The sequence below is a fragment of the Homo sapiens genome, chromosome 11 (genome assembly GCF_000001405.40).
Source record: "Homo sapiens chromosome 11, GRCh38.p14 Primary Assembly".
NCBI classification, from domain to species: domain Eukaryota; kingdom Metazoa; phylum Chordata; class Mammalia; order Primates; family Hominidae; genus Homo; species Homo sapiens.
This window is the reverse complement of record NC_000011.10, coordinates 121,273,605-121,292,698: the sequence shown is the minus strand read 5'-3', so window position 1 is coordinate 121,292,698 and position 19,094 is coordinate 121,273,605. Positions and strand designations below refer to the sequence as shown.

Sequence of the window (19,094 nt, the reverse complement as noted above, 5' to 3'; positions counted from 1 at the left end):
AAGCTGATATGACGGCAGATCGCGCGAAGGGCCTGCGCGCAGCTCTCCGCGGTCACGTGGGCGCCGCGCGCTCGGCCACGCCCCCTTTGTCCTCTGACTAAGGGGAGGGCGGGCGCCCCATCCGAGTACCTTTGCGGTGGAGGATGCGGTTTCGGGTTTTGCGTTTGTTTCTTTGCTTTCTTTTTAAACTAGCTCTTGTGTCATTCATGGTGGTACCAGGCAGGTTTACGGTGTTTATACAAACATTCCTAGAACGGGTGCCCTGCGTTGAGGGAAATAGACGACACTTCCTTTGACGCGAATGTCTGGGTCGTTTTCTCCCTCAAGGGAGGAGGTGCAGATGTTCCCAAACAGGTGCTCAAGGTTTTAAGACGTAGTCCCCCCGATTTTCTAGCGCTGAATGGCTGGAGGCTCCGCGAGCCGGTGTATGTAGGGGTCTAAATGGTGACAAGATGAGGGTAAACATGGACAGAAACCTTTTCACGATACAAGTTGTTGAAAACCAAGGTTAACGCAGATCTAATTGGCTTTGATTTGCTACACATGAATCGAGCAGCTCCGATTTCCTGAAACAGAGCTGAGCAGAGGAGGGTGGCTTCACAGGCAGAAGAGGACGGAGGAAAGCAGAAATAAGGAACCAAAAGATCTGTCGTTTCAGAGTGACTTTCCTTAAACAGAGATTAAAACAGAGGGGACTGACTTGTGATACCAGCTCAGCAACTTCAAAGTGGCAAACTGGGCCACTTTACCTATTACATAAATAATATGGGGAATACATGACAGAAATGAGGGATTTTTAAGGGAAAAAAATAACATGATTCGATCTGCCTTCAAAAGACTTTTCCGGTAGTTAAACTTCAAATGTACATAGGATACTGGACAAAGTTCAAATGAATTTAAAATAGTGTAGGTGGTTTTTTTAAAAAAGACTCATTATATAAATAAAAATAAATTTTAAAAAGTTTTGAGTGTCTACTTCGTTTAACACATCGTACTGAACACCGGGAATGGAAAGAGATGTTACAATAATGACAAAGACATGGTTCCCAACCTTAAAAAGCTTATGTGCTGTGGGAGAAATGGGCATGTATAAATAACTATGTTGCTTATTACAAGGACAGGAAATAAACAGTAATTGGTGGTATAGGCTGAGCACAGAGACAAAATGGCTATTCTGATGAGGGAAATTAGGGAAGGAACATTGTTTTGCCCAATGAAATGATTTGAATGGACACTTTAAAATGTTATTGAGCATAGATGATAAAACATTTATTAAACGAATAAAAGCTCAAAAGTGAAATGTTATAAGCAAACATCAAATATCCTGAATCTCTAGAATTTTATTGTTGAATATGCCTTAGCTATTACAAGTGGTCTTTATTCTTGGTGACTTAGGGATTCCCAAGAAATTTGCAATCACTCCTGACAACTCAAAGTAGTAATAAGTTAACCTCAAGAGAACAATCTTGTTTAAAAATAAATTTAAGTGTATTTTTTAATTATTATTTAAGTTCTGGGATACATGTGCAGAACGTGCAGGTTTGTTACATAGGTATACATGTGCCATGGTGGCTTGCTGCACCTTCCAACCCGTCATCTAGGTTTTAAGCCCTGCATGCATTAGTTATTTGTCCTAATGTTCTCCCTCCCCTTGCCCTCCACCCCCTGACAGGCCCCGGTGTGTGATGTTTCCCTCCCTGTGTCCATGTGTTCTCATTGTTCAACTCCCACAGTTGAACAACTCCCACATACTCAATGAGAATATGTGGTGTTTGGTTTTTTGTTCTGTGTTATTTTGCTGAGAATGATGGCTTCCGGCTTCATCCATGTCCCTGCAAAAGACATGAACTCATTCTTTTTTTTATGGCTGCATAGTATTCCGTGGTGTATAAGTGTATTAATAGCACATCCTGGGGTGCAGCATTCCTACATGTCTTTTCTATCCAGGCACACTGATGGATCAGGGTAATTTATTTATTCATTGTTTGCAAGGGTCTATGGTACCAACCAGCCAGTACCAAGGAATTCAGAGATAAGCCACAATACCTGCCTATGTGTCTGGATGGAACATGAACATGGAAACAAACCATTTAATCATTAAATTACTCAATTTATTTACTCAATAAATCATTATGTAATGGTGATAAGTGTCAGGCACTGTCATATGCACAGGAGATATACTGATAATCAAAACAAAGTCTGCTCTAATGAAGCTTACACACTAGTAAGGAGACAGAAAACTGATAATAAATAAATAGATATATAATACAATGTCGGACAGTGCTATGAAGAAAAAGAAAATGGGGTAAGAGAATCAAAATTAACGGAAGCTGTTAACTTCAGACAGCATGGTCAGTCAGTTTCTCTGAGAGGGCTACATTTGACCTGAACAGAGTTAGAAGTCCTCATTCACTTGGAAGATTCTAAACTGAGATTGAGTTTGAATTTTTTTCAATGAAATGTTGCCTTTCAATGCATCAATAATTTATCAGCCCACGTTCATTATATAACATTATACTTTAATGAGAACACTAAGCACTAAACTGTTTAAAGACCTTTGTCTTTACAAAGGTACTACAAAGGAAACTACAAAGACTGTAGTTTCTGAAGTTAGGAAATGAAGACCCTTTCTTTCTGCATTCGTCCGTTTGCATTGCTATAAAGGAATACCTGATACTGGGTAATTTACAAAGAAAAGAGGTTTATTTTGGCTCACAGTTTTGCAGGCTGTACAGGAAGTGTGGTGCTGGTATCTGGTTCTGGTGAGAGGACCTCAGGAAGCTTACAATCCTGGTGGAAGGCAAAGGGGGAGCAGGCCTATCGCATGAAGAGAGGGAGCAAGAGAGAGGGAGGAGGCTCTCTCTTTTAAACTCAGGCTCTTTTAAACAGCCAGATCTCATGTGAACTCATAGAGTGAGAACTCACTTTACTGTGAGGACAGCACCAGGACATTCATGAGGGATCTGCCCCCAACACCCAAACACCTCCCACTCAGTCCACCTCCAACATTGGAGGTCGCATTTCACCACGTGATTTGGAGGGGAGGAAACATCCAAATCATGTCACTTTCTAACTGGTTTTCAGATGTGTAAAACAGAACAGCCTTCTTAATGAAATGTTGTCACTGAATGCATCAGTAATGTATCAACCTCTCTTCATTACATCACACTGGACTGTACTAAGAACACTAGGCACCAAGCTATTTAGAGTGAATGTTTCTGATGAACTCGTTGGGCCACTGGCTCACAAGCATCTGTTTGCATGAATTTATTTTTTAGGGAGAAGAGAATCTTCATGAAAAAGGTGGATGCACAAGTGTCCAAAAGTAGATTACAGGAAGAGAAAGTGTTTATTCCTTAACCTGGCCCCATGGATTCTATTTTAATTTATAGTATGATACTTTAAACTACAAATAAAATCTTAAACCCCCCAGCAGACTGAACAGACCACCTCTTGGCCAAAGGGATTCCAGAAAAGCCTTAAAAACTTAGTTCCCAGCCATGATGAGATGAGGTCAGACAGGCCTCATTATACCCCCTCCCTTTTTAGACACGACTGACCGGCATTGATGTTAAAACAGAAATCATAAAACTGGCAGAACAGATTCTTTGTGGCGATACAATACCAAATTATAAATAGGACCTAAGGTCGTGCCAGGCGAGGGTTAAGTCATGTACCCTACACGTAAAGAATAAACTATGTTCTAACTGTCACAAGATTTTTCTTTTTCTCTAGCAGCTAAACAAACACTGGCCTTCAGATAAGCAATATTAAAACAATTTGCAGCTCCACCAGACGCTAACTGACCCCCTATTCCACAAGCCACAACTACGGCTTTCATTGGATAAAGACTGGTTTTAATAACTTTCTCCTGATAAGAATACCACTGACCCATGGGCTGGTTCTGATCAGTTTACAGAAGTTGCACATCTATATGCCTTCATGTCCTGAAAAAACATTTTGACATATAGGGCCTAATTGTAATATATTTAAATGTTAACTCTCCATCCTAAAGTGAACATGGTCATATGTTACATGCATGTTTGTTCAATATGCATGTCAGGATCAGCTTCATGAATATTCATAGCTCCTCCTGTAAAACATGCATGTTTAGCCAACCTGTTCAGCATAAAGCTCCTACTCCAGCCCCTCCTTCTTCAAAGTGCCTATCTCTGGTCTCGGCTGGAGGCACACTTCCCAGCCTGTGGGTTGGTCACCTTGCAGGCTGCAACACTTTATAAGAAATAAATTCTTCTCTCCTTTCTTAAATTTATAAATTGTATAATTTTTAAGTTAACAGTACTTAACATTTTAGTGATCATAGATCCCTCCAAAAATTAAATGACATCTATGGACTCTGTCCCCAGAAAATACATATGTGCATACAGTAGTTTTTCTAACCATCTACTTAATATTCTTGATTCCCTTTCTGAAATATGCCAACTGATTCTCATAAAATACTGAAGACTCATAGCTAGTAGCCTTCACTTTAGTTTACTCCTCCACATCTGCTTCCACTAGCTGAGTGGAATACTCCCCAAGAGTCAGTTATGTTTGTTCCCAAACTTCATTTCCATTGTATGCCTCATACGTATATAATTTAATTGAATTGCATGAACTGATAAAATTTGAGTCTGCAAAGAAATAATTTTCTATGAAAATCAAGAAAATGAGTGCTAATAAAAATAGCCATTGTCAGACACTTAGGTGGTTTCCATATCTTGGTTACTATGAATATGCTGCAATAAACATGGAAGCACAGAGTATCTTTTCAGCATACTGATTTCATTTCCTGTGGATATAATACCCAGTATTGGGATTGCCGGATCATATTGTAGTTCTATTTTTAATTTTTTTAGGAACCTCCATATTGTTTTCCATAATGGTTGTACTAATTAACATTCCCACCAACAGTATACAAGGGCTTCCTTTTCTCCACACCCTCCCCAACACTTGTCATCTTTCACCTATTCTATCATAGCCATCTAAATAGGTGTGAAGTAATGTCTCACTATGGCTTTGATTTGCATTTCCCTAATGATTAATGATGCTGAGCACCTTTTCATATACCTGTTGGCCATTTGTACCATTTGCATGTCTTCTCTGGGAAAATGTTCACATCCTTTGCCCATTTCTCACCTGGGCTATTTGGCTGCTTTTAGTTTGTTTTGCTATTGAATTGTACGAGTTCTACAATGAACTGAATGTTTATGTCTCCCCCAAATTCATATGTTGAAATCTAAGCTGCCAAAGTGATGTTACTAGGAGGTGGGCCTTTGGGGAGTGTTGAGGTTATGAAGATGAAGCGGTCATAAGTTGTAGTAGTGCCCTTATAAAAGAGACCCCAGAGATCCCTTGCCCTGCTGCCATGTGAGTTTACAGTGAGAAGACAGCCATCTGTAAGGACGCAAGCCCTTACCAGACACCAAATCTGGTGGCATCTTAGACACCTTATAGCAGCCCAGAGGGGCTAAGACAGTTTCTTATATATTTTGGATATTAAGCCTTTATCAGACATACGGTTTGCAAATATTTTCTCCCATTCTGTAGGTTGCCATTTCATTTTGTTAACTGCTTCCTTTGATGTGAAGAAGCTTTTTAGTTTGATGTAGTCCCACTTTTTTTTTCATTTTGTTGCCTGTGTTTTTGGTGTCATATCCAAAAATCATTTACAAGACCAATGTCAAACGGCTTTTCCCTATGCTTTCTTCTAGGAGATTTATGATATTAGGTCTTACATCTAAGTCTTTATTCTGTGTTACTTTTTGTGTGGTGGATAAGGGTTCAGTTTCATTCTTTTGCATGAGAATATCCAGTCTTCCCAGCACCATTTATTAAGGAGGCTGTCCTTTCCCCATTGTTTTCTTAGCACCCTTGTCAAAGGTAAGTTGCTGGCAAGGTGCGGTGGCTCACACCTGTAATCCTAGCACTTTGGGAGGCTGAGGTGGGCGGATCACTTGAGGTCAGGAGTTTGAGACCAGCCTGGTCAACATGGTGAAACCCTGTCTCTACTAAAAATATAAAAAAATTAGCTGGGCTTGGTGGTGCATGCCTGTAGTCCCAGCTACTCAAGAGGCTAAGGTGGGAGAATTGCTTGAGCCTGGGCAGCAGAGGTTGCAGTGAGCCGAGATTGCACCACTGCACTCCAGCCTGGGTGACAGATCAAGACTCTGTCTCCAAAAAAATAAATAAATAAGTCAACTATTTATGTATGTGTTTGTTTATGGGTTCTCTTCTGTTCCATTGGTCTATATGTCTGTTTTTATGCTAGTACCATGCAGTTTTGACTACTATAACTTTGTAATATACAGCCATATGCCCATATGACAGACCACATATATGATTGAAATGGAGCTGAAAAATTCCTATCACCTAGTGATGTTATAGCTGTTATTAACGTCATAGCACAACACGTTACTCATGTGCTTATGATGCTGATATAAACAAACCTACTGTGCTGCCAGTCCTATAATAAAAGTCTAGAGTACATACAATTATGTACAGTAAATAATACTTGATAATAAATTACTATTAACTGGTTTATGTATTTACTATAGTATACTTTTTACTGCTATTGTAGAATGTACTCCTATTTATTTTTTTTAAGTTAACTGTAAAAAAGTTTCAGGCAGGTCCTTCAGGAGGCATTCCAGAAGAAGACAATGTTATCATAGATGACAGCTCCATGTATGTTACTGCCTCTGAAGATCTTACAGAGGGACAAAATGTGGAGGTGGAAGACAGTGATATTGATGATCCTGCGTGGCTGACTGCCACTGCTACTACTTGAGACTGTCATTACAGCAGTCACTACTGTTACTGCTTGGGATCATCATTACAGCAGTTACTACTGTTACTACTTGAGACTATTATTATGAAGGAAGGGATAAACATAAAAATAGTAACAGAAACAAAAGAAACTGTTTTAAGGAAAGGGCCAGGGGAACAAGAGAGCGCCCTGCTTCTAGTGAGCAAAGGCAGCCCACGACCTTCTACACCCCTTCGTATTTATTGGGTAACAAGAGCAGGGAGGAGGAGGTAATGATTAGTCAGCTGCTTAATTGATCACAGGTTCATATTGTTACTGACAGGCTTCAATTATGCCTAATCACAAGAAACATTTGTGCCTGGACGGTGACTACCCTCAGCAGTCCCTTCTGGGTGGCATACACAGTTTGTCAGTTTGTCAACATTCTGCATTTATGAAAAACAGTTTGCTGCTCACTCATTTAGCCTCCAGTGGTATACTGAGTTGATCACAACCCTCATTCTTTCGGCCTGCTATATCTCCTGCTTTTTGTTTTTAAATTAATTGAGCAACGCAATTGCAGGCTGTGCAGCCCTCAATTGCAGGTTGGTGATCTGGCTTCATTTTTCTTAGCCCTTATTCATAATGGAGTTGCTCTGGTTTGAATGTTCCTTACATATTTCCCTCTTCCTTTTTACAAGAGGACCTTAATCCTAAGGGTTGCAGAAGGATGAAGGTCCATCTTCTGCAACTTCTTCATGCTTAATAGGGGTGTGCCTAACTATTCCTGCCTAACTATTAGGGTCTCTTGTATTCAGGGTAGAGAGCTCAGTCAGAAAGCATTCGTCCATTAAGCATCAATTGTACCTCTGAGTTCCAGTAAAAGGTGAAATCCTGGCCCTCCAGCAGTTTCTCAGCTTCTTGTGTGGTTTTCTAGATCGGTCCCTATATTATGGGGGTTAATGTAAGCGTGACTCTGGTCGGTCCTCGTTCCATCTTTGCATTCAGATTCAACTGGCTCATGGCTCGTACTGGGGGAACCAGGCCTGTAGTTGGAATCCATGGGTCCCCTCCAGTCTCCCGTTCCATGGTCGCACACACCTTGAGGGCACCCACATGGCTTGTTCATCTCCTGCAGAAACACAAGCATACCCTCGTCCCCATGTTAGTAAATCTACCAAAACAGAAGCCAGAGTTTTTGTGGTTGTAGCTGCAAGGCATGCCACTGCCGAAGCATCTGCTCTACAAGCTGCAACTCAGCCTCTGCCTCTTTGGTTAACTGCTGCAGGGTAAAACTTTCCACTGATAATGAAAAACAGGCTCTTTCTGATTAACAGAAGGACAGAGAAAGCAAATGGAGGCTTATCCTTCTCGTAAACAATCCTCAAGATCTATTACCACGAGAAACCAGTTTCTTGCTCCCGTTTCCATAAGCCCACAAATCTTTTCTACAATTTACACTGCACAAGTGGGTCTGTGAGATGCTATGGGTCGTGATAGATAAATTTCCCATGTAGTTGTACTTCCAAATCCCTGATTCCTTCATTTCTCCTCTCATAGAGAGAGGTGCAATTTACAGGGAATAAGCAACAGTTGAGGAATACATTCTCCCGTTTCAAAAACCCAAGGATTTTGTGACATTACCACTACCCGAATTTCTCCTTCACAATCAAAATCAACTCCTAGGATTACAGTAATGCCCTCTAAGTTAACATGACCTTTACCCGAAATGAATCCTATGTATCCTGTTGGCAAAGGTCCCCAAATACCAATGGGAATCTTAGTGAGTTTGTTTCTTTCAATTAATGTAATTTGCTCTCTAGGAGATCTAATCCTGTTTCCAGGTGTTCCTGGGAGAGGGAATCAATGTGCCTCTGTAAACCCACCCCTGAGACGGAGTGGTGGCCTGGATGGGGAATGCCCTCATAGTTTGAGGTGTCCAGGTCCAGGCCCCCTTCTTGTTTCCCGACAGCGGGGTGCCGTTCTGATGAAATTTTGAGCGGCATTCATTAGCCCAATGATTTCCTTTATTACAACGAGGGCAAAGTCCTGGCATTTTTTTCTCTTGAGGGGGAACTGCATTATAAAATCCCTTCTGCCCAGAGGTCTGGCGGTGTTCTTTTCCAAAACGTCCAATTTTTCTACACTTATAACACTTTCCCACTTTAGGGCTTGACCCTTGGCTTCCTTTAGATCTGTCAGCTACCAAATTAGCCATTGCCCGAGCCAACACTGCAGAGCAATGAAGCTCAGTTCCCACATCCTGACAGGCTCCGAGAAAACCTCCTAAGTCCTCGGCACACCTCACAGGTGCCAATGCATGTTTACAATCCACAAAAGCCAAAGCTAAAGTTAGCCTTTCCGTAGCCACAGAAGATGGTACAAGCCAATTCTCATTCTCCCTCTCCTGTTCACCACTTTTGACAGGCGCTGTAGGTGGGGCAAAAATTTTTCTCAAACCCTGAAATAATATGGTATGTACCAAACTCCCAACAAAAAAAAAAGAGAAAAAACATAACCAAATTCTTCTCCATGTTACCCTGATTCAAAAACTTCCCATTCTTTGTACCTCTAGGGCACTGACCATTACCTTTTCAGAGTACTGATCTTACGTTGCTTCCGGCAGACTTGTTAACAGGGTTTCTCATTTGTCTGGTTGGTTTTAGTTTCTGTTGCAGCAGAACTTCCTTGTTCAAGTCCCTATAGGACCCCATCTGTCCCTGAGAGTTTTTGCTGGCCTCTTCTAGCTTCTACTTTTGTACCTCTTTAGGGCACTGACCTTATATTGCTAGCCTTTATCTATCCCTATCTGTCCCTATGGTACCTGTTAGTTCCTGCAAGTTCCTGTCTTCCCCTACCTATCTCTACTTACTTTTCTCTACTTATCTCTACTTAATTTACTTATCTCTATTTACTTATTTCTACTTATCTCTACTTGTCCCTGCAGGCCTCTTCAGGCCCCTTCAGGTCTCTAGGTCTCTTTTTCTCCTTGATAGTCCCTTCAGTGGCTGACTATCACTGCTACTACTTGAAACCATCTTTACAGCAGTTACTACTCGAAACCGAATGAAGGGATGAACGTAGAAATGGTAACAAAAAAAAAAAGAAACCGTTTTAAGGAAAGGGACAGGGGAAGAAGAAGAGAGCTCCCCGCTTCTAGTGAGCAAAGGCAGCCCACCAACTTCTATAGCCCTTCGTATTTATTGGGTAACAAGGGCAGTGAGGAGGAGGTAATGATCGGTCAGCTGCTTAACTGATCACAGGTTCATATTGTTACTGACAGGCTTCAGTTATGCCTAATCATAAGAAACATTTGAGCCTGGATCATGACTGCCCTCAGCAGTCCTTCTGGGTGGCATACAGTTTGTCAGTTTGCCAACATTCTGCTTTTATGAAAAACAGTTTGCTGCTTACTCGTATGGCCTCCAGTGGTATACTGAGTTGATCACTACCCTCATTACTTCAGCCTCCAACAATCCTGACCCTGTATAGGTCTAGGCTAATGTTTAAGTTTGTTTCTTCGTTTTTAACAAAAGTTTTAAAAGTAAAAAATGAAAAAATAAAAATAAAAATGGTTTTAGATTGAGAATATAAAGAAATAAAGGATTGTTAGACAGTTACACAATGCGTTGATGTTTTAAGCTAAGTGTTATTACAAAAGTCAAAACATAAAAACAAAACAACAACAAAAAAAAACCAGTGCTGTGAGTGCCCAGCAGACTGAGGAAGAGAGAGAGAGAAAGAGGAAAGGAAGAGGAGGATGATTCAGGGAATAGGCGCTGGGGAGTCCTTCTGTGGCACAGCTTTAAATCGACTGCATGAACAAACCAGCAATTCTGAGAGAACCCACAGACCCTCTGAAGGAAGCAGACTGCTCCTGCAGTACCCAGGAGACACCCCAAATACTGAGTGCCCCAACCGTGGAAGTGGGAAAGGGAGACCCTCCTCTCCGGAACACACACCCCTACTGAAGAAGCTGAAGCTGGGAGTCAGAAAGCCTTGGGCAAGTTTTCAAGCCCATCTTGCCCTCTGCCTGCAAACAGACTCAGGGCTGTTTGAAGTGGGAGACCAGCCCTTCAATTTGCATGGGAGCTGGGTGAGGCCTGTGACTGCTGGCTTTCCCCCACTTCCCTGACAACCTGCGTGACTCAGCAGAGACAGCCATAATCCTCCTAGGTACACAACTCCAGTGACATGGGAATCTCACCCCTATCCCGCACAGCAGCCGTAGCAAGACCCACCCAAGGAGAGTCTGAGCTCAGACACACCTAGACCCACCCGCACCTGTTGGTTCCTCCCTACCCACCCTGGTAGGGGAAGACAAAGGCATACAAACTTGGGAGTTCTAGCACCCCACCTGTTGGGGCAGCCAGACCCAACACCAGGCCGTGGGGGCTACAAAGTCTGGCATAGTCAAAGGAATGAGACAAGACAAGTTAAGAGTACATAAAGTGGCTCCAGGGAGTGAACGCTACTATGGAGGCTGCGAAGTCCCCGAGCTCTGGAAGCACACACTATTTATTGGTGATCAAACAAAGAAGCAGGTGGTGAAGATGTGGGGGTTGAAAGGTAGCGGTGCGTCAAGCGTATGAGCTATAGCTGTGACGGTTTAGCATTCCCTTTGAAGCATATGGAACATGTTCTGCTACTTGAGATAATGGGGAACTTGTCCTTCTAGTTTGAGATACAATCCATCCATGAGCCTGGGATTGCTAGAAGCAAGGAGCCAGCAAGCCTAGACACATTCCAGAGGCCACGAGGGCTTTCATGCTCTGAGCCCTGGATTCCATCCAAGCTACGAGGGGTTTTATGCCCTGGGCTTAGATTTTGGTACGGCAGGGCAGCCTTCCACCCTTTAGCACAGAGCCTGATGTTCCAAAGGCCACGAGGGGTTTTAGATCCTGGGCCCAGGACATGTTCCAAGACTCTTTTACATTATGTCAGACATACAAGCCCTGCCTCAGCTTTTCCCAACACCACCCACTGCCAGTCCCTTGCCACACTACTACAGCTGATGCTTTCTGGGAAGTGCCACCTTCTGGCAGGAGGCCAACCAGCACAAAAACAGAGCATTAAACCACCAAAGCTAAGGACCTCATGGAGTCCATCGCACTCTCCACCACCTCCATTGGAAGAGGCACTGGTATTCATGGCTGAGAGGCCCATAGACACTTCACATCACAGGACTCTGTGCAGACAACATGCAGTACCAGACTGGAGCTGGGTAGACTCACTGGGTGGCTAGACCCAGAAGAGAGACAACAATCACTGCAGTTCAGCTCACAGGAAGCTACATCCACAGGAAAAGGGGGAAAGTACTACATCAAGAGAACACCCCATGGAACAAAAAAAATCTGAACAACAGCCTCAGTGCTAGACCTTCCCTCTGACAGAGGCTACCCAAATGAGAAGGAACCAGAAAACAAACCCTGGTAATATGACAGAACAAGGCTCATCAACACCCCACAACAATCACACTAGTTCACCAGCAATGGATCCAAACCAAGAAGAAATCCCTGATTTACCTGAAAAAGAATCCAGGAGGTTAGTTATTAAGATAATCAGGGACAGACTAGAGAAAAGTGTAGCCCAATCCAAAGAAATACAAAAAATGATACAAGAAGTGAAGGGGGAAATACTCAAGGAAATAGAAAGCTTAAAGAAGAAACAATTAGTGGCTTATGCCTGTAATCTCAGCAGTTTGGGAGATTGAGGAGGGCAGATCATCTGAGGACAGGAGTTCAAAACCAGCCTGGCCAACTTGGTGAAACCCCATCTCTACTAAAAATACAAAAATTAGCCAGGCATGGTGATGAATACATGTAGTCCCAGCTACTCAGAAGGCCGAGGCAAGAGAATTGCTTGAACCCGGGAGGTAGAGTTTGCAATGAGGTGAGATTGCACCATTGCACCCCAGCCTGGGCAACAAAGAGAGACTCCATCAAAAACAAAACAAAACAAAAAAACAAAAACAAAAACAAAAAACAGAAAGAAGAAAAATAATAAAAAATTTAGGAAACTTTGGACACACTTTCAGAAATGCGAATGCTCTGGAAAGTCTCAGCAATAGAATCGAGCAAGTAGAAGAAAGAAATTCAGGGCTCAAAGACAAGGTCTTTGACTTAACCCAATCCAACAAAGACAAAGAAAAAAGAATAAGAAAAAAAGAACAAAGCCTCCAAGAAGTCTGGGATTATGTTAAATGACCAATCTAAGGGTAGTTGGTGTTACTGAGGAAGAAGACAGTTCTAAAAGCTTGGAAAATGTATTTGGAGGAATAATCGAGGAAAACTTCCCCCACCTTGCTAGAGACCTAGACATGCAAATACAAGAAACACAAAGAACAGCTGGGAAATTCATCACAAAAAGATCTTCACCTAAGCACATTGTCATCAGGTTATCCAAAGTTAAAATGAAGGAAAGAATCTTAAGAGCTGTGAGACAGAAGCACCAGGTGACCTATAAAGGAAAACCTATCAGATTAATGCAGATTTATCAGCAGAAACCCTACGAGCTAGAAGGGATTGGGGCCCTATCTTCAGCCTCCTCAATCAAAACAATTATTAGCCAAGAATTTTGTATCCAATGAAACTAAGCATCATATATGAAAGAGAGACACTGTCGTTTTCAGACAAACAAATGCTGAGATCTCACCACTACAAGAACTACTAAAAGGAGCTCTAAATCTTGAAACAAATCCTGGAAATACATCAAAACAGAACTTCTTTAAAGCATAAATCACACAGGACCTATACAACAAAAATACAAGTTAAAAAGCAAAAACAAAAAACAAAAAAACAAAACAAAGTACACAGGCAACAGAGACCATGATGAATGCAATGGTACCTCACATCTCAACACTAACATTGAATGTAAATGGCCTAAATGCTTCACTTAAAAGTTACAGAAACACAGAATAGATTAGAACTCACCAACCATCTGCTGCCTTCAGGAGACTCACCTAACACAGAAGGACTCAGGTAAACTTAAAGTAAAGGGGTGGAAAAAGGCATTTCATGCAAATGGACACCAAAAGTGAGCAGAGGTAGCTATTCTTACACCAGACAAAACAAACTTTAAAGCAATAGTGGTTAAAAGAGACAAAGAAGGAGGAAGGAGGTTATCTAATGGTAAAAGGCCTTGTCCAACAGGAAAATATCACAATCCTAAACATATATACACCTAACCCTGGAGCTCCCAAATTTGTAAAACAGTTACTAATAGACCTAAGAAATGAGACAGACGGCAACACAGTAATAGTAGGGGACTTCAGTACTCCACTGACAGCATTAGACAAGTCATCAAGACAGAAAGTCAACAAAGAAACAATGGATTTAAACTATACCTTGGAACAAATGGACATAACAGATATACACAGAACATTTCATCCAACAACTGCAAAATATACATTATATTCAACAGCACATGGAACTTTCTCCAAGATATACCATATGATAAACCATAAAATGAGCCTCAATAAATTTAAGAAAATTGAAATTGTATCAAGCACTTTCTGAGACCACAGTGGAATAAAACTGGAAGTCAACTCAAAAAGGAAACTTCAAAACCATGCAAATACATGGAAATTAAATAACCTGCTCCCAAATGAGCATTGGGTCAAAAACAAAATCAGGACGGAAATTTAAAAATTCTTCAAAGTGATTGACAATAATGACACAACCTATCAAAACCTCTGGGGTATAGCTAAGGCAGTGCTAAGAGGAAAGTTCATAGCCCTAAATGCCTACATCAAAAAGTCTGAAAGAGCACAAACAGACAATCTAAGGTCACCCTTCAAGGAACTAGAGAAACAAGAACAAACCAAACCCAAACCCAGCAGAATAAAGGAAATAGCCAAGATCAGAGCAGAACTAAATGAAATTGAAACAAAAAAAAAAATACAAAAGGTAAATGAAACAAAAAGCTGGTTCTTTGAAAAGATAAATAAAATTGATAGACCATTAGCAAGATTAACCAAGAAAAGAGAAAATCCAAATAACCTCACCAAGAAACAAAACAGGAGATATTACAACTGACACAACTGAAATACGAAAGACCATTCAAGGCTACTATGAACACCTTTGCACACATAAACTGGAAAACCAGAAGAGATGGATAAATTCTTGGAAAAATACAACCCTCCTTGCTTAAATCAGGAAGAATTAGATGCCCTGAACAGACCAGTAACAAGCAGTGAGATTGAAATTATACTTTAAAAATTACCAACAAAAAAAGTCCAGAACTGGATGGGTTCACAGCAGAATTCTACCAGACATTAAAAGAAGAATTGGTACCAATCCTTTTGACCCTATTCCAAAAGACAGAGAAAGAAGGAACCCTCCCCTAATTCCTTTTATGAAGCCAGCATCACCTTAATACCAGAACCAAGAAAGGACACAACTGAAAAAGAAAACTACAGACTGATACCCTTGATGAACATAGATGCTAAAATCCTTAAGAAAATACTAGCTAACTGAATCCAACAACATATCAAAAAGATAATTCACTACAATCAAGTGGGTTTCATACTAGGGATGCAGGGATGGTTTAACATATGCAAGTCAATAAATGTGATACACCACATAAACTGACTTCAAAACAAAAATTACATGATCATCTCAATAGATGCAGAAAAAGCATCTGACAAAATCCAGCATTGCTTTTGATTAAAACCCTCAACAAAATCGGCATACAAGGGACATAACTTAATGTAATAAAAGCCATCTATGACAAACCCACAGCCAACATAATACTGAATGGGGAAAAGTTGAAGCATTCCCTCTGAGAACAGGAACAAGACAAGGATGCCCACTCCTCCTCAACATAGTACTGGCAGTCCTAGCCAGAGCAATCAGACAACAGAAAGAAATAAAGGGCATCCAAATTGATAAAGAGGAAGTCAAACTGTCCCTGTTTACTGACGGTATGATCATTTACCTTGAAAACCCTAAGGACTCCTCCAGAAAGCTCCTAGAACTGATAAAAGAATTCAGCGAAGTTTCCAGATACAGGATTAATATACATAAATCAGTAGCTCTTCTATACACCAACAGCGACCAAGCAGAGAATCAAATCAATAACTCAACCCCTTTTACAATAGCTGCAAGAAAATAAAATACTTAGGAATGTACCTAACAAAGGAGTCGAAAGCCCTCTGCAAGGAAAACTACAAAACAATGCTGAAAGAAATCACAGGATGACATAAACAAATGAAAACACATCCCATGCTCATGGATGGGTAGAATCAATATTGAGAAAATGACCATACTTCCAAAAGCAATCTACAAATTCAATGCAATCTCCATCAAAATACCACCATCATTCTTCACAGAGTTAGAAAAAACAATTCTAAAATTAAAATGGAACCAAAAAAGAGCCCGCATAGCCAAAGGAAGACTAAGCAAAAAGAATAAATCTGGAGGCATCACACTACCTGATTTCAAACTATGTTATAAGGCCAGAGTCACCAAAACAGCATGGTACTGGTATAAAAATAGGCACATAGACCAATGGAACAGAATAGAGAAGCCAGAAATAAACCCAAATAGTTACAGCCAACTGATCTTTGACAAAGCAAACAAAAACATAAAGTGGGGAAAGGACACCCTTTTCAACAAATGTTGATGGGATAATTGGCAAGCAATATGTAGAAGAATGAAACTGGATCCTCATCTCTCACCTTATACAAAAATCAACTCAAGATGGATTAAGGACTTAAACTGAAGACCTGAAACTATAAGCATTCTAGAAGATAACATTGGAAAAACTCTTTTAGACATTGGCTTAGGCAAGGATTTCATGACTAACAACCCAAAAGCAAATGCAATAAAAACAAAGATAACTAGCTGGGACCTAATTAAATTGAAGAGCTTTTGCAAGTTAAAAGGAGCAGTCAGCAGAGTAAACAGACAACCCACAGAGTGGGAGAAAATCTTCACAATCTATACATCTGACAAAGGATTAATATCCAGATTCTACAACAAATTCAAACAAATCAGTAAGAAAAAAAACAAACAATCCCATCAAAAAGTGGGCTAAGGACATGAATAGACAATTCTCAAAAGAAGATATGCAAATGGCCAACAAACATATGAAAAAATGCTCAGCATCACTAATGATCAGGGAAATGCAAATCCAAACCACAATGGGATACCACCTTACTCCTGCAAGAATGGCCATAATAAAAAAAATCAAAAAATAGTAGATGTTGGCATGGATGCAGTGATCAGGGAACATTTCTACAGTGCTGGTGGGAATGTAAACTAATGCAGCCACTATGGAAAACAGTGTGGAGATTCCTTAAAGAACTAAAAGTAGAACTACCATTTGATTCAGCAATCCCACTACTGGGTATCTACACAGAGGAAAAGAAGTCATTATTCAAAAAAGATACCTGCACACACATGTTTATAGCAGCACAATTCACAATTGCAAAATCTTGGAACCAACCCAAATGCCCATCAATCAATGAATGGATAAAGAAACTGTGATATACATATATATATATATATGTATATATACACATACATATATACACACACATATATCACAGTTTATATATACGTGTGTGTATATATATGATCGATGGAATACTACTAAGCCAGAAAAAGGAATGAATTAACAGCATTTGCAGTGACCTGGATGAGACTGGAGACTATTATTTTAAGTGAAGTAACTCAGGAATGGAAAACCAAATAGCCTATGTTCTCACTGATATGGGTTAGCTAAGCTATGAAGACTCAAAGGCATAAGAATGACACAATGGACTTTGGGGACTTAACGGGTAGGGTGGGAGGGGGCGAGAGGTAAAAGACTACGAATATGGGGCAGTGTATACTGCTCAGGTGATGGATGCACCAAAATCTCACAAATCACCACTAAAGAACTTACTCATGTAACCAAATACCACCTGTACCCCAATAACTTATGGAAATTTTTTTTAAGTTGACAGGAGCTATTTGAAAAAAAAAGTTAAAAAAATTGAAAGTTTGTGAAGTAAAAATGTTACAATAAGCTAAAGTTAATTTATTATTGGAGAAATAAAATTTTTAAAAATTTAGTGTAGCCTAAGTACACAGTGTTTATAAAGACTACAGTGGTGTACAGTAATATCCTAGGCCTTCACATTCACTCACTGCTCACTCACTGACTCACTCAGAGCAACTTCCAGTTTTGCAAACTTCATTCGTGGTAAGTGCCCTAGACAGTGGTAGAGATGTATCTTTTTTTTTTTTAATCATTTATACTGTATTTTTACTCTACGTATTCTAGTTTAGATATGTTTAGACACACAAATACCATTGTGTTACAGTTGCCTCCAGTATTCGATACTGTGTATATGGTGTACAGGTTTGTAGCCTTGGAGCAATGGGTTATACCTTATAGCCTAGACAGGATACACCATCTAGGTTTAAGAACATTCTATGATGTTTACACAATGACAAAATCACCTAATGACACATTTCTCAGAACTTATCGCCATTGTTATGGATGCATGACTATAGTTTGAAATCAGAAAGTATAATGCTTCCAGCTTTGTTCTTTGTCAAGATTGCTTTTGCTGTTCTGGGTCTTTTGTGGTTCCATACAAATTTTAGGATTTTTTTTCTAATTTTGTAAAAAAAAAAAATCATTGGAATTTTAATAGGGATTACATTAAATCTGTAGATTGTTCTGGGTAATATAAACATTTTAACAATATCAATTCCTCCAATCCACCACACAGGATACTTTCCTTGTATTTGTGTCTTCTTCAGTTTCTTTCATCAATAGCCTATGGTTTCCCATGTACAGATTCTTCACCTTCTTGGTTAGATTTATTCCTCAGTATTTTATTCTTTGTGATGCTATTATATATGGGATTGTTTTCTTAACTTCTTCTTTAAATAGTTCTTTACTGGTGTATAGAAATGCAACTGAGGCCAGGCACAGTGGCTCACTCCTGAAAGCATTTTGTGAGGCCAAGGTGGGCTAATTGCTTGAGCTCGGGAGTTCAAGACCAGCCTGGGCAGCATGGCAAAACCTCATCTCTACAAAAAATACAAAAATTAGCCAGATGTGGTGGTGCATGCCTGTAGTCCCAGCTACTTGGGAGGCTGAGGTGGGAGGATAACTTAAACCCAGGAGGCAGAGGTTGCAGTGAGCTGAGATCATCCCACTGTACTCCAGCCTGGGTAACAGAGCAAGACCCTCTCTCAGAAAGAAAGAGAGAGAGACAGGAAGGAAGGAAGGAAGGAATGAAGGAAGGAAGGAAGGAAGGAAGGAAGGAAGGAAGGAAGGAAGGAAGAAAGAAAAAGAAAGAAAGAAAGAAAGAAAGAAAGAAAGAAAGAAAGAAAGAAAGAAAGAA

General features: G+C 40.4%; 1 annotated feature.

Moving 5' to 3' along the window:
• Positions 137–186: an enhancer, noted in NCBI's record as "active region_5642". NCBI's record gives its function as "activates an Ori minimal core promoter by ATAC-STARR-seq in GM12878 lymphoblastoid cells {active_cell/tissue: GM12878}" and the evidence as "EXISTENCE:reporter gene assay evidence [ECO:0000049][PMID:35858748]".